This window comes from Homo sapiens, chromosome 16 (genome assembly GCF_000001405.40).
Source record: "Homo sapiens chromosome 16, GRCh38.p14 Primary Assembly".
Taxonomy (NCBI): domain Eukaryota; kingdom Metazoa; phylum Chordata; class Mammalia; order Primates; family Hominidae; genus Homo; species Homo sapiens.
This window is the reverse complement of record NC_000016.10, coordinates 83,775,597-83,793,038: the sequence shown is the minus strand read 5'-3', so window position 1 is coordinate 83,793,038 and position 17,442 is coordinate 83,775,597. Positions and strand designations below refer to the sequence as shown.

General features: G+C 43.2%; 1 protein-coding gene and 1 pseudogene across 5 annotated transcripts in view; one reads left to right on the top strand and one right to left on the bottom strand.

Moving 5' to 3' along the window:
- The window catches only part of CDH13 (cadherin 13), a 1,173,672-nt gene that overhangs the window by 7,602 nt on the left and 1,148,628 nt on the right, over window positions 1-17,442 (bottom strand). For all 5 annotated transcript variants that reach the window (NM_001220488.2, NM_001257.5, NM_001220489.2 and 2 more), the window contains 2 exons: window positions 12,838-13,071; window positions 9,567-9,785 (listed from right to left, as the gene is read on the bottom strand). In NM_001220488.2, coding sequence (NP_001207417.1) covers window positions 9,567-9,785; window positions 12,838-13,071 — 453 coding nt within the window. The remainder of the gene's footprint in view (window positions 1-9,566; window positions 9,786-12,837; window positions 13,072-17,442) is intronic.
- On the top strand, window positions 15,056-15,171 carry LOC124903810 (uncharacterized; annotated as a pseudogene).

Sequence of the window (17,442 nt, the reverse complement as noted above, 5' to 3'; positions counted from 1 at the left end):
CCTACTGATACCCTAGTCCTGCCTCCATCCAAAAGTGCCCACTGAAGACAGGCTGCCCTCTGCTAAGAACTTCAGATGTTTTGAGGCACTCTTTTCATTTTTACCATGATTAGGTTTCATTTTTACAATGATTAGGTTTCATTTTTACAATGATTACACTTATACCCCATGCTGCAAGACAGTTATAAAATATGAACTATTTTTGCAAAAGCCTATTAGAAAGAATGTTAAGATGTTGTTTTGGGTTGGATACATATTCCTCTTTCTTGTTTTAAATGGGCAAAAGCCATTGATGTTGTCAGGGTGGTAGAATGTCTCCACTTTCTGTGTCTAATTTTGGTTAGAGAGCAGAGTGGGGTTTCTCAGCCTCAGCACTACTGACATTTGGGGTTGGATAATTCTTTGTGGGGGGTGCTGTCCTGTGTATGGGAGGACGCTTAGCAGCACCCTTACCCTCCATCCACTAGATGCCACTAGTGGCGTCCTGCCAGGCATAATAATCAAAATGTCTCTAGACATTTCAACTGTCTCCTGGGAGGCAAATTAGTTAAAAGCAAGAACAACAACAACAACAAGAAACATCTTTGGCTGCATAAAATCCACTAAATAGGCTCCAATCTCTTGTTTTCAAATTAGAGTCTCAAATTCCTGTTTTAAGTCAATTTAGATGATAACATAAGTGACTCGTCCCAGGGCTATTGAGATGGTTACTTGAGGAAATTTATTTAATTTATGTAAAGCCCTTAGCTTGCATGCGCAAGGTGCATGGAAAGCCCCCAAGGATCAACTGTCATTGTCCATAATGTCATGTCACTTTAAGGGGCCACAGCTCCTCTGCAAAGCATGACCGCGGCCGTCTGCAGGCCGAAGACAGCCCACTCTACCTGGGTTTAATGCCTTTGCAGGCCGTGTCTGTCCATAATACGTTTCGCAATAGAAAGGAACAAAATACTGGTACACTTTAAGACATTCTAGAAAAGACAAAGCCATTATTAGAGAAAGCAGATCAATGAGAGCCTGGATTGCGGAAAGGGGATCAATAGCAAAGGAAACTGTATTTTGACTAGGGCGTGGTATAAAATTCTGTACACTTACCAAAATGCATCAAACTGTACACTTGCAACGGATGCATTTTGTTTTATGCAAACAATACGTTGAAAAATAAAATTTTAAAAGTGTTTACTGGCTATCTTTTGCTCATCTTGGCTTTTTTTTTTTTTTTTTTTTGGAGACAAAGTCTTGCTCTGTTGCCCAGGCTGGAGTGCAATGGCGCAGTCTTGGCTCACTGCAACCTCCAACTCCTGGGTTCAAGCGATTCTCCTGCCTCAGCCTCCTGAGTAGCTGGGATTATAGGCGTGTGCCACCACACCCAGCTAATTTTTGTATTTTTAGTAGAGATGGGGTTTCACCACGTTGGTCAGGCTGATCTTGAACTCCTGACCTTGTGATCCGCCCACCTCGGCCTCCCAAAGTGCTGGGATTACAGGTATGAGCCACCCCACCCAGCCAGGCATGCATATTTTATTTTTATTTTTATTTTTTTGAGATGGATTCTCACTCTGTCCTACAGGCTGGAGTACAGTGGCATGATCTCAGCTTATTGCACCCTCTGCCTCCCAAGCTCACTCGATTCTCCTGCCTCAGCCTCCTGAGTAGCTGGGATTACAGGTGTGTGCCACCGTGCCCAGGTAATTTTTATAGCTTTAGTAGAGATGAGTTTCACCATGTTGGTCAGGCTAGTCTCGAAATCCTGACCTCAGGTGATCGGCCCACCTAGGCTTCCGAAAGTGTTGGGATTACAGACGTGAGCCACCGTGCCTGGTCCACATTTTATTTAATGTTAATTTTTAGCTGACATGGGGTGGGGCTTTTTTTTCTTTTTTTCAGAGATGGGGGTCTCACTATCTTGCCTAGGCTGGTCTCAAACTCCCAGCCTTATCCAATCCACCCACCTCAGTCTCCCAAAGTGCTGGGATTACAGGCATGAGCCACTGTGCCCTGCCCACTCCCCTCTTTAAATTTCTTTATTGTGTCTGAGTTTGTCTACATCTTACCCTCCATATAGAGACATTTACTTTTGGTATTTGTTAAGATAGTTCACCTGATCTGTCCTTTTACATTCTTGCTAATACTGGTTAATTAAGCAGAAAGCAATGGTCAGAAATGGTTTCCCGACAAGTTCTTTTTTTGAGACTTGCCATACCATAAAAGTCGTGCTAGAAAAACCACAGAAACAGCTTAATGGCAATGCCGGCTTGCCTCACTGGGAGGGTGCTAGGGGAAGAATTACACATCCACTTCATGCCACTGACATGCACTTTATACTACAACAACCGGGCCAGGCATGGTGGCTCACGCCTGTAATCCCAGCACTTTGGGAGGCCGAGGCGGGCGGATCACGAGGTCGGGAGATCGAGACCATCCAGGCTAACACGGTGAAACCCCATGTCTACTAAAAATACAAAAACAACATTAGCCAGGCATGGTGGCGGGCGCTTGTAGTCTCAGCCACTCGGGAGGCTGAGGCAGGAGAATGGCGTGAATCCGGGAGGTGGAGCTTGCGGTGAGCAGAGACCATGCCACTGCACTCCAGCCTGGGTGACACAGCAAGACTCTGTGAAAAAACAAAACAAAACAAAACAAAAAAAACTGACAGTAAAAATCATTTCATTTTCATTTTTTATTACTTTCAATATCAGTAGTTTTATTTCCTTTATTTTCAGATGTCAAAGAAAGAAATGCAGATCCTTCAGTTCAACTCTCAGTTGCAGTAAAGCCACCTACAGGATCAGGTCATACTAAACTGAAATGTTGTTATTATCCTTTTCTGTAAGGGAGGCAGTCAATGGTGAATGCTGGCCTCGCTGATTACTCACCTGGAGACCTTTCTGAGGATCAGTTTTCTCATCTAGAAAATGGGACAACTGCCAGACCACTGAAGAAAATACAGAAAACAGCCCCACACATCAGCATGTTTGGTTGCTGCCAGTCTACTTGGATCTGAGTATTTTTTCTTGCCATGAATGTGACGTGATTATCTTCTCCTACATCACACTGAAGTTTTATGAATGATGCTTTGAAGTGGGAAGGGCCAGAGAGTTAATATTTTCGGCTTCTTGGGCCAGCTGGTCTCGGTGGCAGCTACTGAGCTCTGCCACTGCAGCAGAGAACGGGCACAGGCGATATGGAAATGATAGGCGCGGCTGTGTTCCAATAAAACTTTATTTACAAAAATGGGCAGTAGACCAGATTTGGTCTGTGTCTTAGAGTTTGCTGACCCTGCTTTAAAGAAACATCAAAGAGATTCTACCAGCTGATTTCCTTGCTCCCAAAATTCTTGTAAGGACTATGGCTGAGTTAGGAAGTTATGTACTTTAATAGCTAATTTCAGGCCTGGCGTGGTGGCTCACGCCTGTAATCCCAGCACTTCGGGAGGCTGAGGTGGGTGGATCACTTGAGGTCAGGAGTTTCAGACCAGCCTGGCCAACATGGCGAAACCCTGTCTCTACTAAAAATACAAAAAAATTAGCTGGGCGTGGTGGCAGGTGCCTGTAATCCCAGCTACTTCAGAGGCTGAGGCAGGAGAATCACTTGAACCTGGGAGGCAGAAGTTGCAGTGAGCCAAAATCGCGCCCTTGCACTCCAGCCTGGGTGACAGAGCAAGACTCAGTCTTAAAACAAAACAGACAAACAAAAAAAAAGAAAGCTACTAATTTCAGTGTTTTTTGAAATCACCCTCCTCCTTCTCCAATCCTTGCTTAAGGGTTTAAGCTCACTTCTGTGCAGCCTCTTCTCAATGTCATATAAATGGTAGCACACGTGGGTCGGCCACTTTGATGTCTGCTTTTATGCATTTGAGTGGTTGGGCACTGGTGGTTACCTGTTCCTGCTACCTCTGACCCAGATTCTTACATGTCTTATTATGTCCATCCCTTTTTGGTTAGGAAGAATGTCTTGGACTAGGTATATAATAAAACGTAAATCATGACATTTGGCAGGCATCTCTAACATTTAAATGAACAATATTAGAAAATCTTATGCCTTTTACACATGACCAGACCAAGTGTGTTTTTGAAGGTAAGTGGTAACACCTGTTTTTAACTGTTTTTTGGGGGCTGAAACTACTGTCTTTGTACAGCAAACCATTGGAGTGTCAACTGAATACTTTCCAGCTACACAAGGAGATCCAGAGTTTCACTGTGGGAATAATTTCGACTTTACACACAGGTGCCCCTACTTACAGTGAGATACAATCATCAGATGCTAGATGGGATGGCTCCCCTTAGACGAGCACATAAAGCACATTTGGTATTTCACAGCTAGTGTACCTGTGCCTGTCTTTTATCAATGATACCAACTGTGAAGCAATTCTTTAGGGATTATCAGGCAATTCTGCCTTAGATTAACTTGACCCAAGAGCTCAGTTGAGAGATGAGAAGTGGGAAATCCTTGGCAACCTGCTGATGATTGTCATCTGTAGATCAGGAGTCTCAAAGTGAGGACCACAAGAAAATCCCTTGTTGGTAAGAAAAAAATACTGCCAAGTCTTTTTTTTTTAATCTAAAAAAAAAAATTCAATGTTTACTAATACTTAATATATGGGGAGTGTTGGTAGCAGAATGTGTATTATTATAAAAATATTGTATAAAAATAACCAAACACTGGGCTTTGAGCTAGAGGCCCCTGTCACCTGGGATGTTGATGCCATAGGTTGGATGGGCCTGGAAATCTGTATTTTAACAAGCAGGTGCACAGCGGCTCTGGTCTCCATTTAAAACACTCATTTCCAGTCCCGAGTAGCTGAACCGTGAGCAGGGTCCTGCAGTGCCTTTGTTCTTCAAAGAGATGTCACGGAGTGAGGCTTTGATGTTCAGAAATTGGATTTACAGAGGGCAATGTGTGATGTAACCCCCTTAATTGTCTACTTTCTGGGTACACACACGTGCGTGCACACAAACATACATGTACGTGTGTATATGCATTCCCACTACACACACATAGAATTTTTATCTCTTTGCAATCACATAGGAAGTACTGCTCTCCGATTTATCCAAACTCTGTTATTCTTGAGTTCCAGTTGCTCCTGGATCTCTGCAGGTGTTGTTTTTTGCTCTGTCGCTTAGGCTGGAGTGCAGTGGTGTGATCTCGGCTCACTGCAACCTCTGCCTGGCAGGTTCAAGCGATTCTCCTGCCTCAGCCTCCCGAGTAGCTGGGATTATAGGTGCTTGCCACCACGCCTGGCTAATTTTTGTATTTTTAGTGGAGACGGGGTTTGGCCATGTTGGCCAGGCTGGTCTTGAACTCCTGACCTCAAGTGATCTGCCTGCCTTGGCCTCCCAAAGTGCTGGGATTACAGGGGTGAGCCACCGCACCTAGCTGCAAGCATTGCTTGTAGAGCAGTGGCTTCTAAGTGCTGGTCTTTGGGCAGTGCTGGGCTTGTGGTCTGTCTGGCGCTCACTCCAGAAGCTGGTGGAAAACGTAGATCTCTTACTGTAGTAGCGTTGGTCATAGTAAATGATTCGAATGTGTCTGCTGATAAGGGAATCCACTGCACCGTATTCAAATGACAGGATCCTCCAGCAGGAGGAGTAAATGGAGCAGAGCGGGGTTCAGCCAAGGAACGCTGTGGGCTGACTCTAACCTCAAGTCCGTGTTTGGATAGCTCCCAGGCAAAGAAGGGTTTTCACGTTTTTAAAGGGTGGTACAAAAGACAGAAACAAACAAACAAACAAACAATAAAGATGAATATGTGACAGAGACTAATATGGCCCACAAAGCCACCTGGCCCTTTACAGAAAAAGTTTGCTGAACGCTGAATTAGAGCAACGTGGATGGACCTTGTGAATGTAACACAGGTAGGAAGAAAAGTAAGTCGCAGAATGGTATGCCCAATATAATATGAATTACAGGAGGTTTTACAAACTGCACAAAATAGAACTGTATGTGTCATGTGTGAATGTGTGTGAGTGAGTGTATGTGTCAGTTTGTGTGTAGTAAAAGGATAAAACATCTGGACACACACATGAATAGCTAATTCATGGTAGCTATTGTTTCTGAGGAGAGAGAACAGAAAATAAAATTGGGCAGAGAAACATAGGCAATTTTACCTTTGCCTGTAATATTTTACTTTCTGAAGAAAGAGAAAGGAAGGAGCTGGGTGTGGTGGCTCACACCTGTAATCCTAGCACTTTGGGAGGCCGAGGCAGGCAGATTACCTGAGGTCAGGGGTTTGAGACCAGCCTGGACAACATGGTGAAACCTCGTCTCTACTAAAAATACAAAAATTAGCCGGGCATGGTGGTGCATGCCTGTAATCCTAGCTACCTGGGAGGCTGAGGCAGGAGAATCACTTGAACCCGGGAGACGGAGGTTGCAGTAAGCTGAGATGACGCCACTGTACTTCAGCCTGGGCGACAGAGTGAGACTCTGTCTCAAAAAAATAAATAAATAAGTAAACAAATAAAGGAAAAAAAGAAAAGAAAGACAAAGGAAAGAAGAAAAAAAGAACAAAAGAAAAGAGGGAGAAATATGTTTCCTTTCATTTATCCATCTGTCTGTCCATGCGTCCATTCATTACCATTCCCCAACGCCCTATTCCTCAAGCTCAAGTCGTAATCTAGAGCACAAATGAAAGTTTCTAGGGCACTGAGCTCAGGAATTCGTAGTTTGAAAATGTTTCCTAAGTGGTTCTGACGTGCAGCAGCATTTAGGAACTACCACTGCAATTAACACGTTGCTCTTATCACACAGTGGCAATTGTGTACGGCAAGCCAATGAGAAGCTCAGGCCAAATTTAGTGTCAGTTAACTCCATCCCCAACTCTTCCTAGTTGGTTTCTCTTCCTTGTCAAGTTTAACTTCCTGTCTGGTTCACATTTTAATTCTGTAAGCTTCTGAAACACTTTCTGGAAAGTTGGTGCTATAGAAATTCTCATACTGGATGTGTTCTGTCATCTCACCGTACCCTCCTCTCTGGAGGAGGGATGGTGCCAGGTTTTCTGGCACCATCGGTAGCAAACATCTTCACACTTGTATTCTTAACTTTACTCTCCTCCACCTGTTTCCTATTGAGTTGTGAACCGAAGGAACCAGCACGTCTTTAGGGTGGGGACAAGATTGGAGGACACTGTTAGAATGTCCAGGAGCCTGTACCTAAACGTTGGAGTCACTCACCAGGACGGTCCTGATTTCCCAGTGTCTTCGGACCACCTGGTGAGGCTTTAAAATGGACAAATGTCTAAGCTGCCCTTCCAGCCATAGGGTAGGGCTCAGGTATGGGTAGCTACTTTTAAAAGTTCCCCAGGTGCTTCTGTTGTGCAGCCAGACTTGAGATCCACCACCATCTCCCCAGCTGATACTATGCAAGAGTGACTTGCAGGTTGCTAGTGATGACTCAGCAAACCAGGCCCCAGACAGCATACCCTCACGAAGGGAACATTCCTACACTCTAGAAATCTAGGTCTAGGATATCTGTCAGCAAAGCAAGGGGGCAAACAAGCATAATGTGTTGCTATAAATTCATGGTATCTGCTATGCTCTGAAGTTTGTGCCCCTCCAAAGTTTATATGCTGAAACCTGATCCCCAAGGTGATGGTACTACGAGGGTGGGCCTTTGGGAAATTAGTGGGTCAGGAAGTCAGTGTCCTCATGGATGGGATGGGATGAGATGCCCCAGAGAGCTGCCTTGCCTCTCCCATCATGTGAAAATGCAGGGAGAAGGCGCCATATGTGAACCAGAATGTGGGCTTTCACTAGACAATGAATCTGCCAGCATCTTATTCTTGGACTTCTCAGCCTCCAGAACCATGAGCAATACATCTCTGTTATTTATAAGCCACCCAGTTTATGGTATTTTGTTATAGTAGCCCGAATGGACTAAGACAGTATACAAACTCCTCTGGACCACCCCTGCTCAACGTTTAGCCCAATTGCTGTACAGCCGAATTATCTGTGCTTTGACAAGGTTTCCTAATTTCTTCTCAGTCCCCACTCCCATCTCTAACCCTTCATCTGAAATTGTCTCTGCTTTACAGAAAAGACTCAGGAGAAGCCTCCGAGGGGTGGCCTCTTGATTTCTATTTTCTCTCTCTCTTTGCAGAAGATAAAGTTAGAAAGCCAGTGAGATAATCGAGGTTAAGTGACATTAGTACCTGAGACAGGAGGGTGGAGGCAGGGATGGATGGAAAGTGTTGGACCCTTAGACTCTGTTGGGCTTTGCAGTGGGAAGACCAGGAAGGAGACATGGAGATGATGGTGATGATGATGGTGGTGGTACAGTCATCAGAGACAAGTCAGGCAGAGGGGCAGGTCAGGAGGGGAAGATGATATGTTCGCTTTCAGAAATGCCCAGTCTGAAGGGCCAGTGAAATGCTATAATGGCTTCTTGTTTCCTTTTTTTTTTTTTTTTTGAGACAGAGCCTTGCTCTGTCACCCAGGTTGGAGATCAATGGCATGATCTTGGCTCACTGCAACCTCCGCCTCCCGGGTTCAAGTGATTCTGCTGCCTCAGCCTCCCGAGTAGCTGGGACTACAGGCATGTGCCACCATGGCTGGCTAATTTTTGTATTTTTAGTAGACACAAGGTTTCACCATGTTGGCCAGACTGGTCTTGAACTCCTGATCTCAGATGATCCACCCACCTCGACCTCCCAAAGTGGTGGGATTATAGGTGTGAGCCACCGTGCCTGGCCCTTCATTTTTCCTTCTACTCACAGGACTCTGGTCTTGCACAGAGCTTTATATACGTGAATGTCCAATGTTGTACTATGTGATTTCCTGGCAGCTCACCACTGTCAGTAGGATAAAAAACCTTCTGTTTTCTTTTTCTGTCAATTTCCCAACTTCCTAATTCACAATTACACCGATACGTTCTCAAAAGGTAAATTGCAAGGCCCAAAAGGCTTTTGGATGGTAACAGTTATATATGAATAACGGCTAAAGTTAACATTGGACTAGTATTTCATAAATAAGGAATATCTGAGACATGTATTTATTAATTTTATCCTCACATCTATACTACTTGGCATAATAATTCATTTGTTAAAAACAATGTTTCATGATATTATAGTCATTATTACTAGCCAGTGAAAAAACAGTGTAAATTATGCATTTATCATTTTCCCTGCAGCCCACCCTCCATCCATAAATTCTCACGACTATTCTCAGAAAGTCTCATAATATCTGTTTTAACCTTGCAAAAGATTATTCTGCATAATGTAGAGAGAAACAGGCCTCTGATAGACTAGTTAACTAATCTGGGCGCATTTTCATTAGCTCAAGTTGAGTGGCAGCTGTAGGAAGTTTTGCTTACCACCTAGTTTGCAGGCTAGCAATGAACACCTTTGCACAATCCCTCAGACTGGCTGGCAGGGATTGTTAAGATGCCTTTAAACATCAGTGGGAGCACTTTTACATATAACATGTTCTATCATACAGACATACACTAAAGATGAATGATTCTTCTGGGAAACATCTTCTTGGAAAGGTATATGGGAAAATGCTGGCTTCACGAACCCAGTGAAGTTACAATTTCCTGTTTGTGCATGCACTGGAGTTAGGTCAACTTACAAGCTAAGCTGAAGAGGCTGAGGAGCAGGACTGAGGGCAGGCTGAAGCGCAGGGCCCCTGCCGCGTTGCAGTCCACTTTGGAATTCCTGCAGGAGCACACTTGTACCCTGAGATCTGTGATATTCGTCATGGGTGGTTTCCCTGAATCTGTCACCATGATGGGCAGGTTGTAGTTTGCTTTGTTCAGATTTTGAAGAAGGCTTACCAGGGCGTGTGTATCTGTAAAGGCAAGGAGGGTTCTGGTGAGAGTGGATGAGACTTTTTCCAATAAAAGAGTGAGGTTTTGGTGATGAAAGTCACACCAAACAGGCATTGCATTTTCATTTATAATTGTGCGAATGCTTACATTTAAATTCATTAACATCAAGTGAAAATACCAGTTCAGATCCTCAGTGGCACCTGCCACATTCCAAGTGCCCAGAAGCCACACATGGCTGCTGGCTCCTGTAATGAACAACACAGAGACAGAGTGTTTCCATCACCAGAGTTCTGTGCCTCGGCGCGATTATAATCAGTTTCAAGGAGAGCTCCTTTCATGAAGATGATTGATTACCAAGAACTCCTCCCTGCAAATTTATTACACGAAAAAGCCATCTTGACAAAGACTGCGTTCCACATCTAGAAAGCTAAGGTGAAAATCCACCTGCTCTCAATGTGGGCAGGACCCTAATGTGTTATCATGGAGATGGGTTCTATAGCCTACATTTTTTGTCTTTAGTTTTTTTTTTTTTTTTTTCGAGACAGGGTCTCACTCTGTTGCCCAGCCTGGAGTGCAGTGGTGCAATCTTGGCTCATTGCAACCTCCGCATCCTGGGTTCAAATGATTCTCCTGCCTTAGCCTCCCGAGTAGCTGGGATTACAGGCACACACTACCATGCCCAGCTAATTTTTGTATATTTAGTACTGATGGGGTTTCACCATATTGGCCATGCTGGTCTCAAACTCCTGACCTCAGGTGATCTGCCTGCCTCGGCCTCCCAAAATGCTGGGATTACAGGTGTGAGCCACTGAGTCCAGCCTTGTTTTTGTTTTTTTTGATCAATCCTCTGTCCACAGCTCTACATTTGGGTGGGAACCCGCAACATAGAGACTGGATCTTTAAGCTTCCCCTCCACTTCCCTGATGTCATGTGCGGTGGCAATAGCCACCATCACCCAGGCCCCTGGGTGACACTTGGCAGTGGCTGCACCAGCTGGCCTATTCTTTAGCCTTGAGATAAAGTCACTCACATGATTAGGGTCATATGTATTTTTAAGTGCCCCTTTCTGGGAATAAACAGGGCTAAATATTCAGAAAAAAAAACTGTGAGACAACAAAATCATTTAGAAGGCATTTATCTATTAGGTAAAACCAGGAGAAAAAACAAGAGAGTAATGACAGGGAAATAAAAATACATGAAGCATGATCATTACCAGAAGGTGACAGGAGCAGCAATGACTAATGTGATGCTCACCTAGTGAGATGGCAGATTAAATCAAACAGCATTTTCCCATCTTCCTTTAGTAGAGGATACAATCTTTTTTTTTTTCTTCTTTTTTTTTTTAATTGAAGTTCCGGGGTACATGAGCAGGATGTGCAGGTTTGTTACATAGGTAAACATGTGCCATGGTGATTTGCTGCACAAATCATCCCATCACCTAGGTATTAAGCCCCACATGCACTGGCTATTTATCCTGATGCTCACCCCCCTCTGCACGCCCCCAAAAAAGAAACTCTTGAATGAGAAAGTTCCAATTGGAAAGAACTGGAGATGATTATTCAAATAGGCTATAGCCATAAAAACTAGCAAATAAAACACTAACCCCTCAAACAAGAGAAGGTCTGTTTTAATTAAAAATAATCAGTATAACAGAATTCATTATTTAAAAAGCAATAAAATAGACAAACAGGCAAATAGAATCAATAACAAGCAAAAGGCACTAAAAAAATGAGATATGAGATAGGGCTATAACAATAGATATGAGATTTTTAAATAGAAAATGTTATGCACAATTGTACAATACATTTGCAAAACCTAATGAAATGCGTAATTCTCTGTCTCCCTCAAAAGTTCTACCACTGACATAAGAAGTGGGAACCCTGACGGGGTCAACAGCAGGATAAGTATATTATTGAAGACATAGTGTCTAATGTCTTTCTTTTTCTTTTTTCTTTTACTTTATTGGAAGACAAGGTGAACTTGGTAGTTAGTTTACATTTGGGGAAGAAAGTGGGTGAGATTGTGGATATAGGGATACTCCATATTAATATGTTGGTGTTTCAGTCTTAATAAGGCAAGTGATAGAAGTTGGGTTAAGTTTTGAATTCCACCTGCCTATGTGGAAGGACTTGTGGGAGGAGACATTGCTTGCAAGTTTTATAAAGGAGAAAGAAGATGCATGGAAGAAGACATCAAAGTCAATGGTGGCCAAGGATTTGAAAAAAAACCCAAGGTCATCATTAAACCAAGTCAAGTCTGAGGAGGTCTGCAGCGTACTATGGAAGGTTGGAGGTTGAAGACTATAAAGATTCTTATCCTAGCACTTCTCTTTCCTTTAGTCTTTTATGACAGCAGGTACACCACGAAAAGCCTCTCCAATGCGCTGGTGAAAGTTAATGTTAACACAGTTCTCTGTCTCTGAGACTGGAAAGACAGCTGAGCCAAGAGATAGCTGGGGAGAAGCAGAGACTCCTATCTTTTCAAGGTCTGAGACTGGGCAGGTTGGCCAATATTCTTTGTAAGCTAGTTACAAACAAAGAATCTGTGGAGTTTAATTAAAAGAAAAAAGGAAGAGAAAGAGGAAGAACAAAGAATCACAGTCTTGTGGCTGGGAACTCTGGGATGGCAGAAACTACAGATTAGTTAAGAGAAAGTTCACTATTGGGTGATGGGGATAGTAAAAGCCTAGATTTCACCACTATGCAATGTATGTATGTAAAAACCTGCAGTTGTGCCCCCTAAATATATGAAAATTTTAAAGATAGAATATTGGAGTTATACTAAATAGTGTATGTAGCAGACAGGTTAGGATATACAACACAGGGTGTACAGTATAGAAAATATCAGAGAGGAAGCAGAAGAGAAAATGTCTGTGTTTGAAACAGATATTCAATATTTTTATAAATTGCATTTGTTTGTTGGTGGGAAAATTCTCAGTATTTATAATATGCCAATAACTTAAAATGAACCAAATGAGAATACTTGAGAGAACAGTAGAGAAACAGCATTTTGGGAAAGAGAAAATAAACTGAAAGCTGGAAGAATAGGCAGAAATGCTTTAGCCAGACTTACTGTTGATCTTGGAGATCTTCCAGACTTTATCAGGAACAGCTTGTTTGTGGATTTCAAATTTGAAAGGATCTGTATTCGGGTGAAGATCCTTATCTGATGCTCCCAAAATGACTACACTGAGGTTTTTGGCATCATCACAGACTTCAGCTACTGTGGGGTAAATGAACGGGGCATTGTCATTCACGTCCTCCAGGGTTATCAGCAAAGTCCCAGTGCCCGTAGCGGGAGGGTTGCCTGTGGGAAAAAGGGAAGATGTTGGTATGCAACTGGTATATGCGAGAGCAATTTACCATAGCACTTTTTGCATTGTAAACTTAGTATATTTTGCAGTTATTTTATTTTTTGAGACAGGGTCTCACTCTATCGCCCAGACTGGAATGCAGTGGTGCGATCATGGCTCACTGCAGCCACAACCTCCTGGGCTCAAGCAATCCTACCACCTCAGTATCCCAAGTAGCTGGGACCACAGGTGCACGCCACCACACCTGGCTAACTTTATTTTTTTAGCATTTACATCTAAGAGGATAATTTTTGTATTTTTTGTAGAGACGGTGTCTCACTATGTTACCCAGGCTGATTTCAAACTCCTGGCGTCAAGCAATCATCCTGCCTCAGACACCAAAAGTGTTGTGATCACAGGCGTGAGCCACCATGCCCAGCCCATTTCTCAGTTGTTATTAATAGTTGCAAACAAGACTAACAATAATAGATTTTTTTGGTATAAAGTTTAGTGGTTTACAAAGCCCTTTATCATATATAAGACTTTTTTTTTTTTTTTTTTTTTTTTTTTTTTTTGAGATGGAGTCTCGCGCTGTCGCCCGGGCTGGAGTGCAATGGCGCAATCTCGACTCACTGCAACCTCCGCCTCCCGGGTTCAAGCGATTCCCCTGCCTCAGCCTCCCGAGTAGCTGGGACTACAGGCACCTGCCATCATGCCCGGCTAATTTTTTTGTAGTTTTAGTACAGATGGGGTTTCGCTATGTTGGCCAGGCTGGTCTCAAACTCCTGACCTCGTGATCCGCCTGCCTAGGCCTCCCAAAGTGCTGGGAATACAGGCATGAGCCACCGCATCCGGCCTTAAGACTTCTGATTGAAGTTCTTTAGGCTTAATACTTTACCCTTAGAATACTAAGCTTCTGACACACACTAAAAAGTCATTCTCACACACTGAAATCTATTCAAAGAATGGAGATAAATATGACTTTTCCTCACTTATCAAATTAAATCTTTTACATAAGTAGCCAGGTATTCACACATGTTGGTGGCAGGGGGAGGACGGAGTCTCCGTGAGAGATGGCCATGGTTTCACTGCTGTAGCTCTACTCTAACTGAGGAGTTGACTAAAGAGGGAAAGATTAAATCCAAGACATTTTCTTCTGGGGGTGAAAAAGAGTCTCAGATGGCTGATGGTGCCACTGGGGGCTGGGATGGCTGACCCTGCTGGACAGGACAGATTTAGAAAGCTGGGTTAGTGATGAGAAATGAGATCACTAGCTGGCTACAGGGGCATAGAAGCAATCATCATATAATCTTTGGACCTTATTTTTAAAGCCTTGTTTTTTTCCTGATATTTCAGCTACTTCCTGAAATGTTTTTCATTTTAGGAAATACTATTTTAAGATAATGGCCCTCATAATCACCAATCTAATAATGTCTTTCTTTCTTTTTTTTTTTTGGTGAGTCTCACTCTGTCACCCAGGCTGGAGTGCAGTGGTGTGGTCTCGGCTTACTGCAACCTCTGCCTCCTCGGTTCAAGTGATTCTCATGCCTCAGCCACCCAAGTAGCTGGGATTACAGGTGTGCAACACAATGTCCAGCTAATTTTTGTATTTTTAGTAGAGATGGGATTTCACCACGTTGGTCAGTCTGGTCTCAAACGCCTGACTTCAAGTGATCCACCTGCCTCGGCCTCCCAATGTGTTGGGATTACAGGCATGAGCCATTGTGCCCAGCCCTAATAATGTATTTCACTTAAACATTAAACAATGTTAATAAAACTCAGCTTGCCTTCATTTTTCTCTGAGTTCATCTTTAATCATTTGTGCATTAGAGGTTTGCTCTTGGGACAAACCATTTGTTAGTAGTTTCTAATTTTCTGCAAGAAAGGTTAGAGCCAAATTCATAGGTCACACATTTTAAGTATACAGATTTGCCTTATTCCCAAAATAATTTGAAGCACCTCTAAAATTACAGCACCATAATTTTATACAGTAGTACAATCGTTTCTTGGCCTCTTGGCTAAGATGAAGTACAGATCTGTTCTTATCAGTTTAATAAACTAATACTATACAGTACTAATCTAACCTATGGCTTTCTTTTATTTTTCTAATCCTTATTTTCACTTAGCCAGATTTCCAAGTATAATTTTATTTTCTCTTGTACTATATTTATGTTTTGAAACGCATATTAAGTTTGCAGTTAGGCTATCAGGTTACACGGGGGTTAGAAGGGTAGTGAGTATTTGAAGTTGGCATACAGGACGCAGGCAAGTCCTAGCAAAGAAGCAAGGAGACCTCTTTAGATGCAGACAGCTTATTACTTAGACAGTAGAAGCAGGCGTGGGCATGATGGCCTTGGCGCAGGTCATGGCAGAATAAAAGGGAATGGACAACTGCAACAGAAAGAAGGGATGTTGCAGTAGAGCCAACTCCAAGCTGCTTCTCAGCAGTTTTACAGCAGCAGCTGTGTCCTGAGAGGGGCAGGCAGAAAGCCCCCGCACCTCACAGAACCCGGAAGGCAATGAGAAACTGGCTGGGGGACCGCAGGGTGTTCTGCCAAGACTCAGCGCAGCTGCAGGTCATACCCTCCCCATGTGGCTCTACATGCAAAGTCATGGGGTGCCGTGGTGGAGCTGCTCCTCCAGAGCTGAGGGCACTGAGGATGGCATGGGCTCCTGGAGGGCCTTGAGTAGCATCACAAGGGACCTGTACCAATTCTACAGAGTGCACGAGGCCACCAGAGGCTTTCCGGAAAGGCAGTGATCCAGGAACAATCTGATCTGACTTATCTTCAGAAAGCACACGATTGGATTGATAGGAAATGTGAGACCCTGCAGGCAGGCGGACCAGCCATGGATGAAGAGAGGCATGATGTGTGCAGCTCGAGCAGGAAAGCAGTGTCTTTTCTTGGTGATCAAGCACTCAGATGAGGCTGCCCGAAGAGCAGAGTGCAGTGGGAAGTGGGAAGACCAGCGGTTCAGTCTTGATTGTGCTAACGACCCCTTGAATTCAATGCACCTGTGCAGCTTGGCGGAAGTGCCCAGGCTGAGTTAGGGGTTGGGAAGTCATCAACACATAGATGGCTTTGAAACTTCTCTAACAAAGTGGTTACCCAGGGTGAAAGTTCAGAATGCCAGAGGGGTGGAATACGGAATCCTGAGAGACCCCAAAGTTTAAAGAGCAGATGCTAGTTTTGCAGGAGAGAATTGGAAGAGGAGTCAATGACCCATAATTAAATGTGTCATGACCCCTACGAGGATAAGAAGTGAAGAGAAGTAACCGGATTTTGTAAGGAGAATGTTACTGGTGACACTTTTGGAAGAGGTTTCTGTTAACGGGGAAAAAACCAGCTTAAAGGAAGCTGAGCAGTGAGTCATGAAGAAGTGCGAGCCGATACTCTTTAGCGGGGCTGGTGGAAATTTAAATATATCAACACCCAAAGACAGCTACAGAGTAAACATTCAAATAAATGTCTGCTAAAATAGCAACACAAATGCAATTGATCATTTGAAGGATGGCTATTTCTAATGGTGGCATATCATCAACTTTCGTTAGAGCGCAAACTCAAAAGAAATGCATAATTACTTTGAAGTTGGTTTTTCACTGTCAGTTTTAGTCATTTAGTTAAATTTCTTTACTGAAAAATTATTTTTCTCTTTTTATTGAACTAATTGAATATCTCGGAAGAATCCATTATGTTTTTTCACTCTGAATATATTATGAAGACAAGTCATTTGGTAGAATGGATGAGAAGGCGTTATGAGCATTTGAAATACGGCCATAAGAATTGGCCTTTTGTGAACTTAAGTATACTACTGTCTTCAATTTCCTATGTGTTATTCCCAGGCCAGGCTGGTGATGTCTTTTTCTGAAGTTAGTAAGATGAGTTTGTTACTTTGGGCGATGAGTTAAAGACAAGATTCACAAAATCCTGAGGGAAAGAGCCTCTCTCAGTTTCTATGCACGGGATAGAGAAAAATCACATCCAAAATTCAGGTGAAATTCAAAATTTCAAAATTCCTCACAAGCCCATTTGGCTCCAATCATTTCTGGGGCCCAGGAAATATAGGGGCTTCTAAGTATTCTCTAGATTTTCAGCAAAAATCCCTCACCCCTCTGTTCCTCTTTCCATCAGCAGCCTCCACCACCATGGAACCACTCATAACCAAGAATCAAAACCAAGGCACAGTGAAGACGGGGTCCCTCCTTTATGAATTTTCTCTTTCTTTTCTTTTACTTCTTTCTTTTTTCTTTTTTTTTATTTTTGAGACAGAGCGTCTCGCTCTGTCTCCCAGGCTGCAGTGCAGTGTGGCACGATCTTGGCTCATAAGCCACCACTCCTGGCCGGAATTTTCTCTTTCAATAGGGAAAACAGGTCAATTTGAGC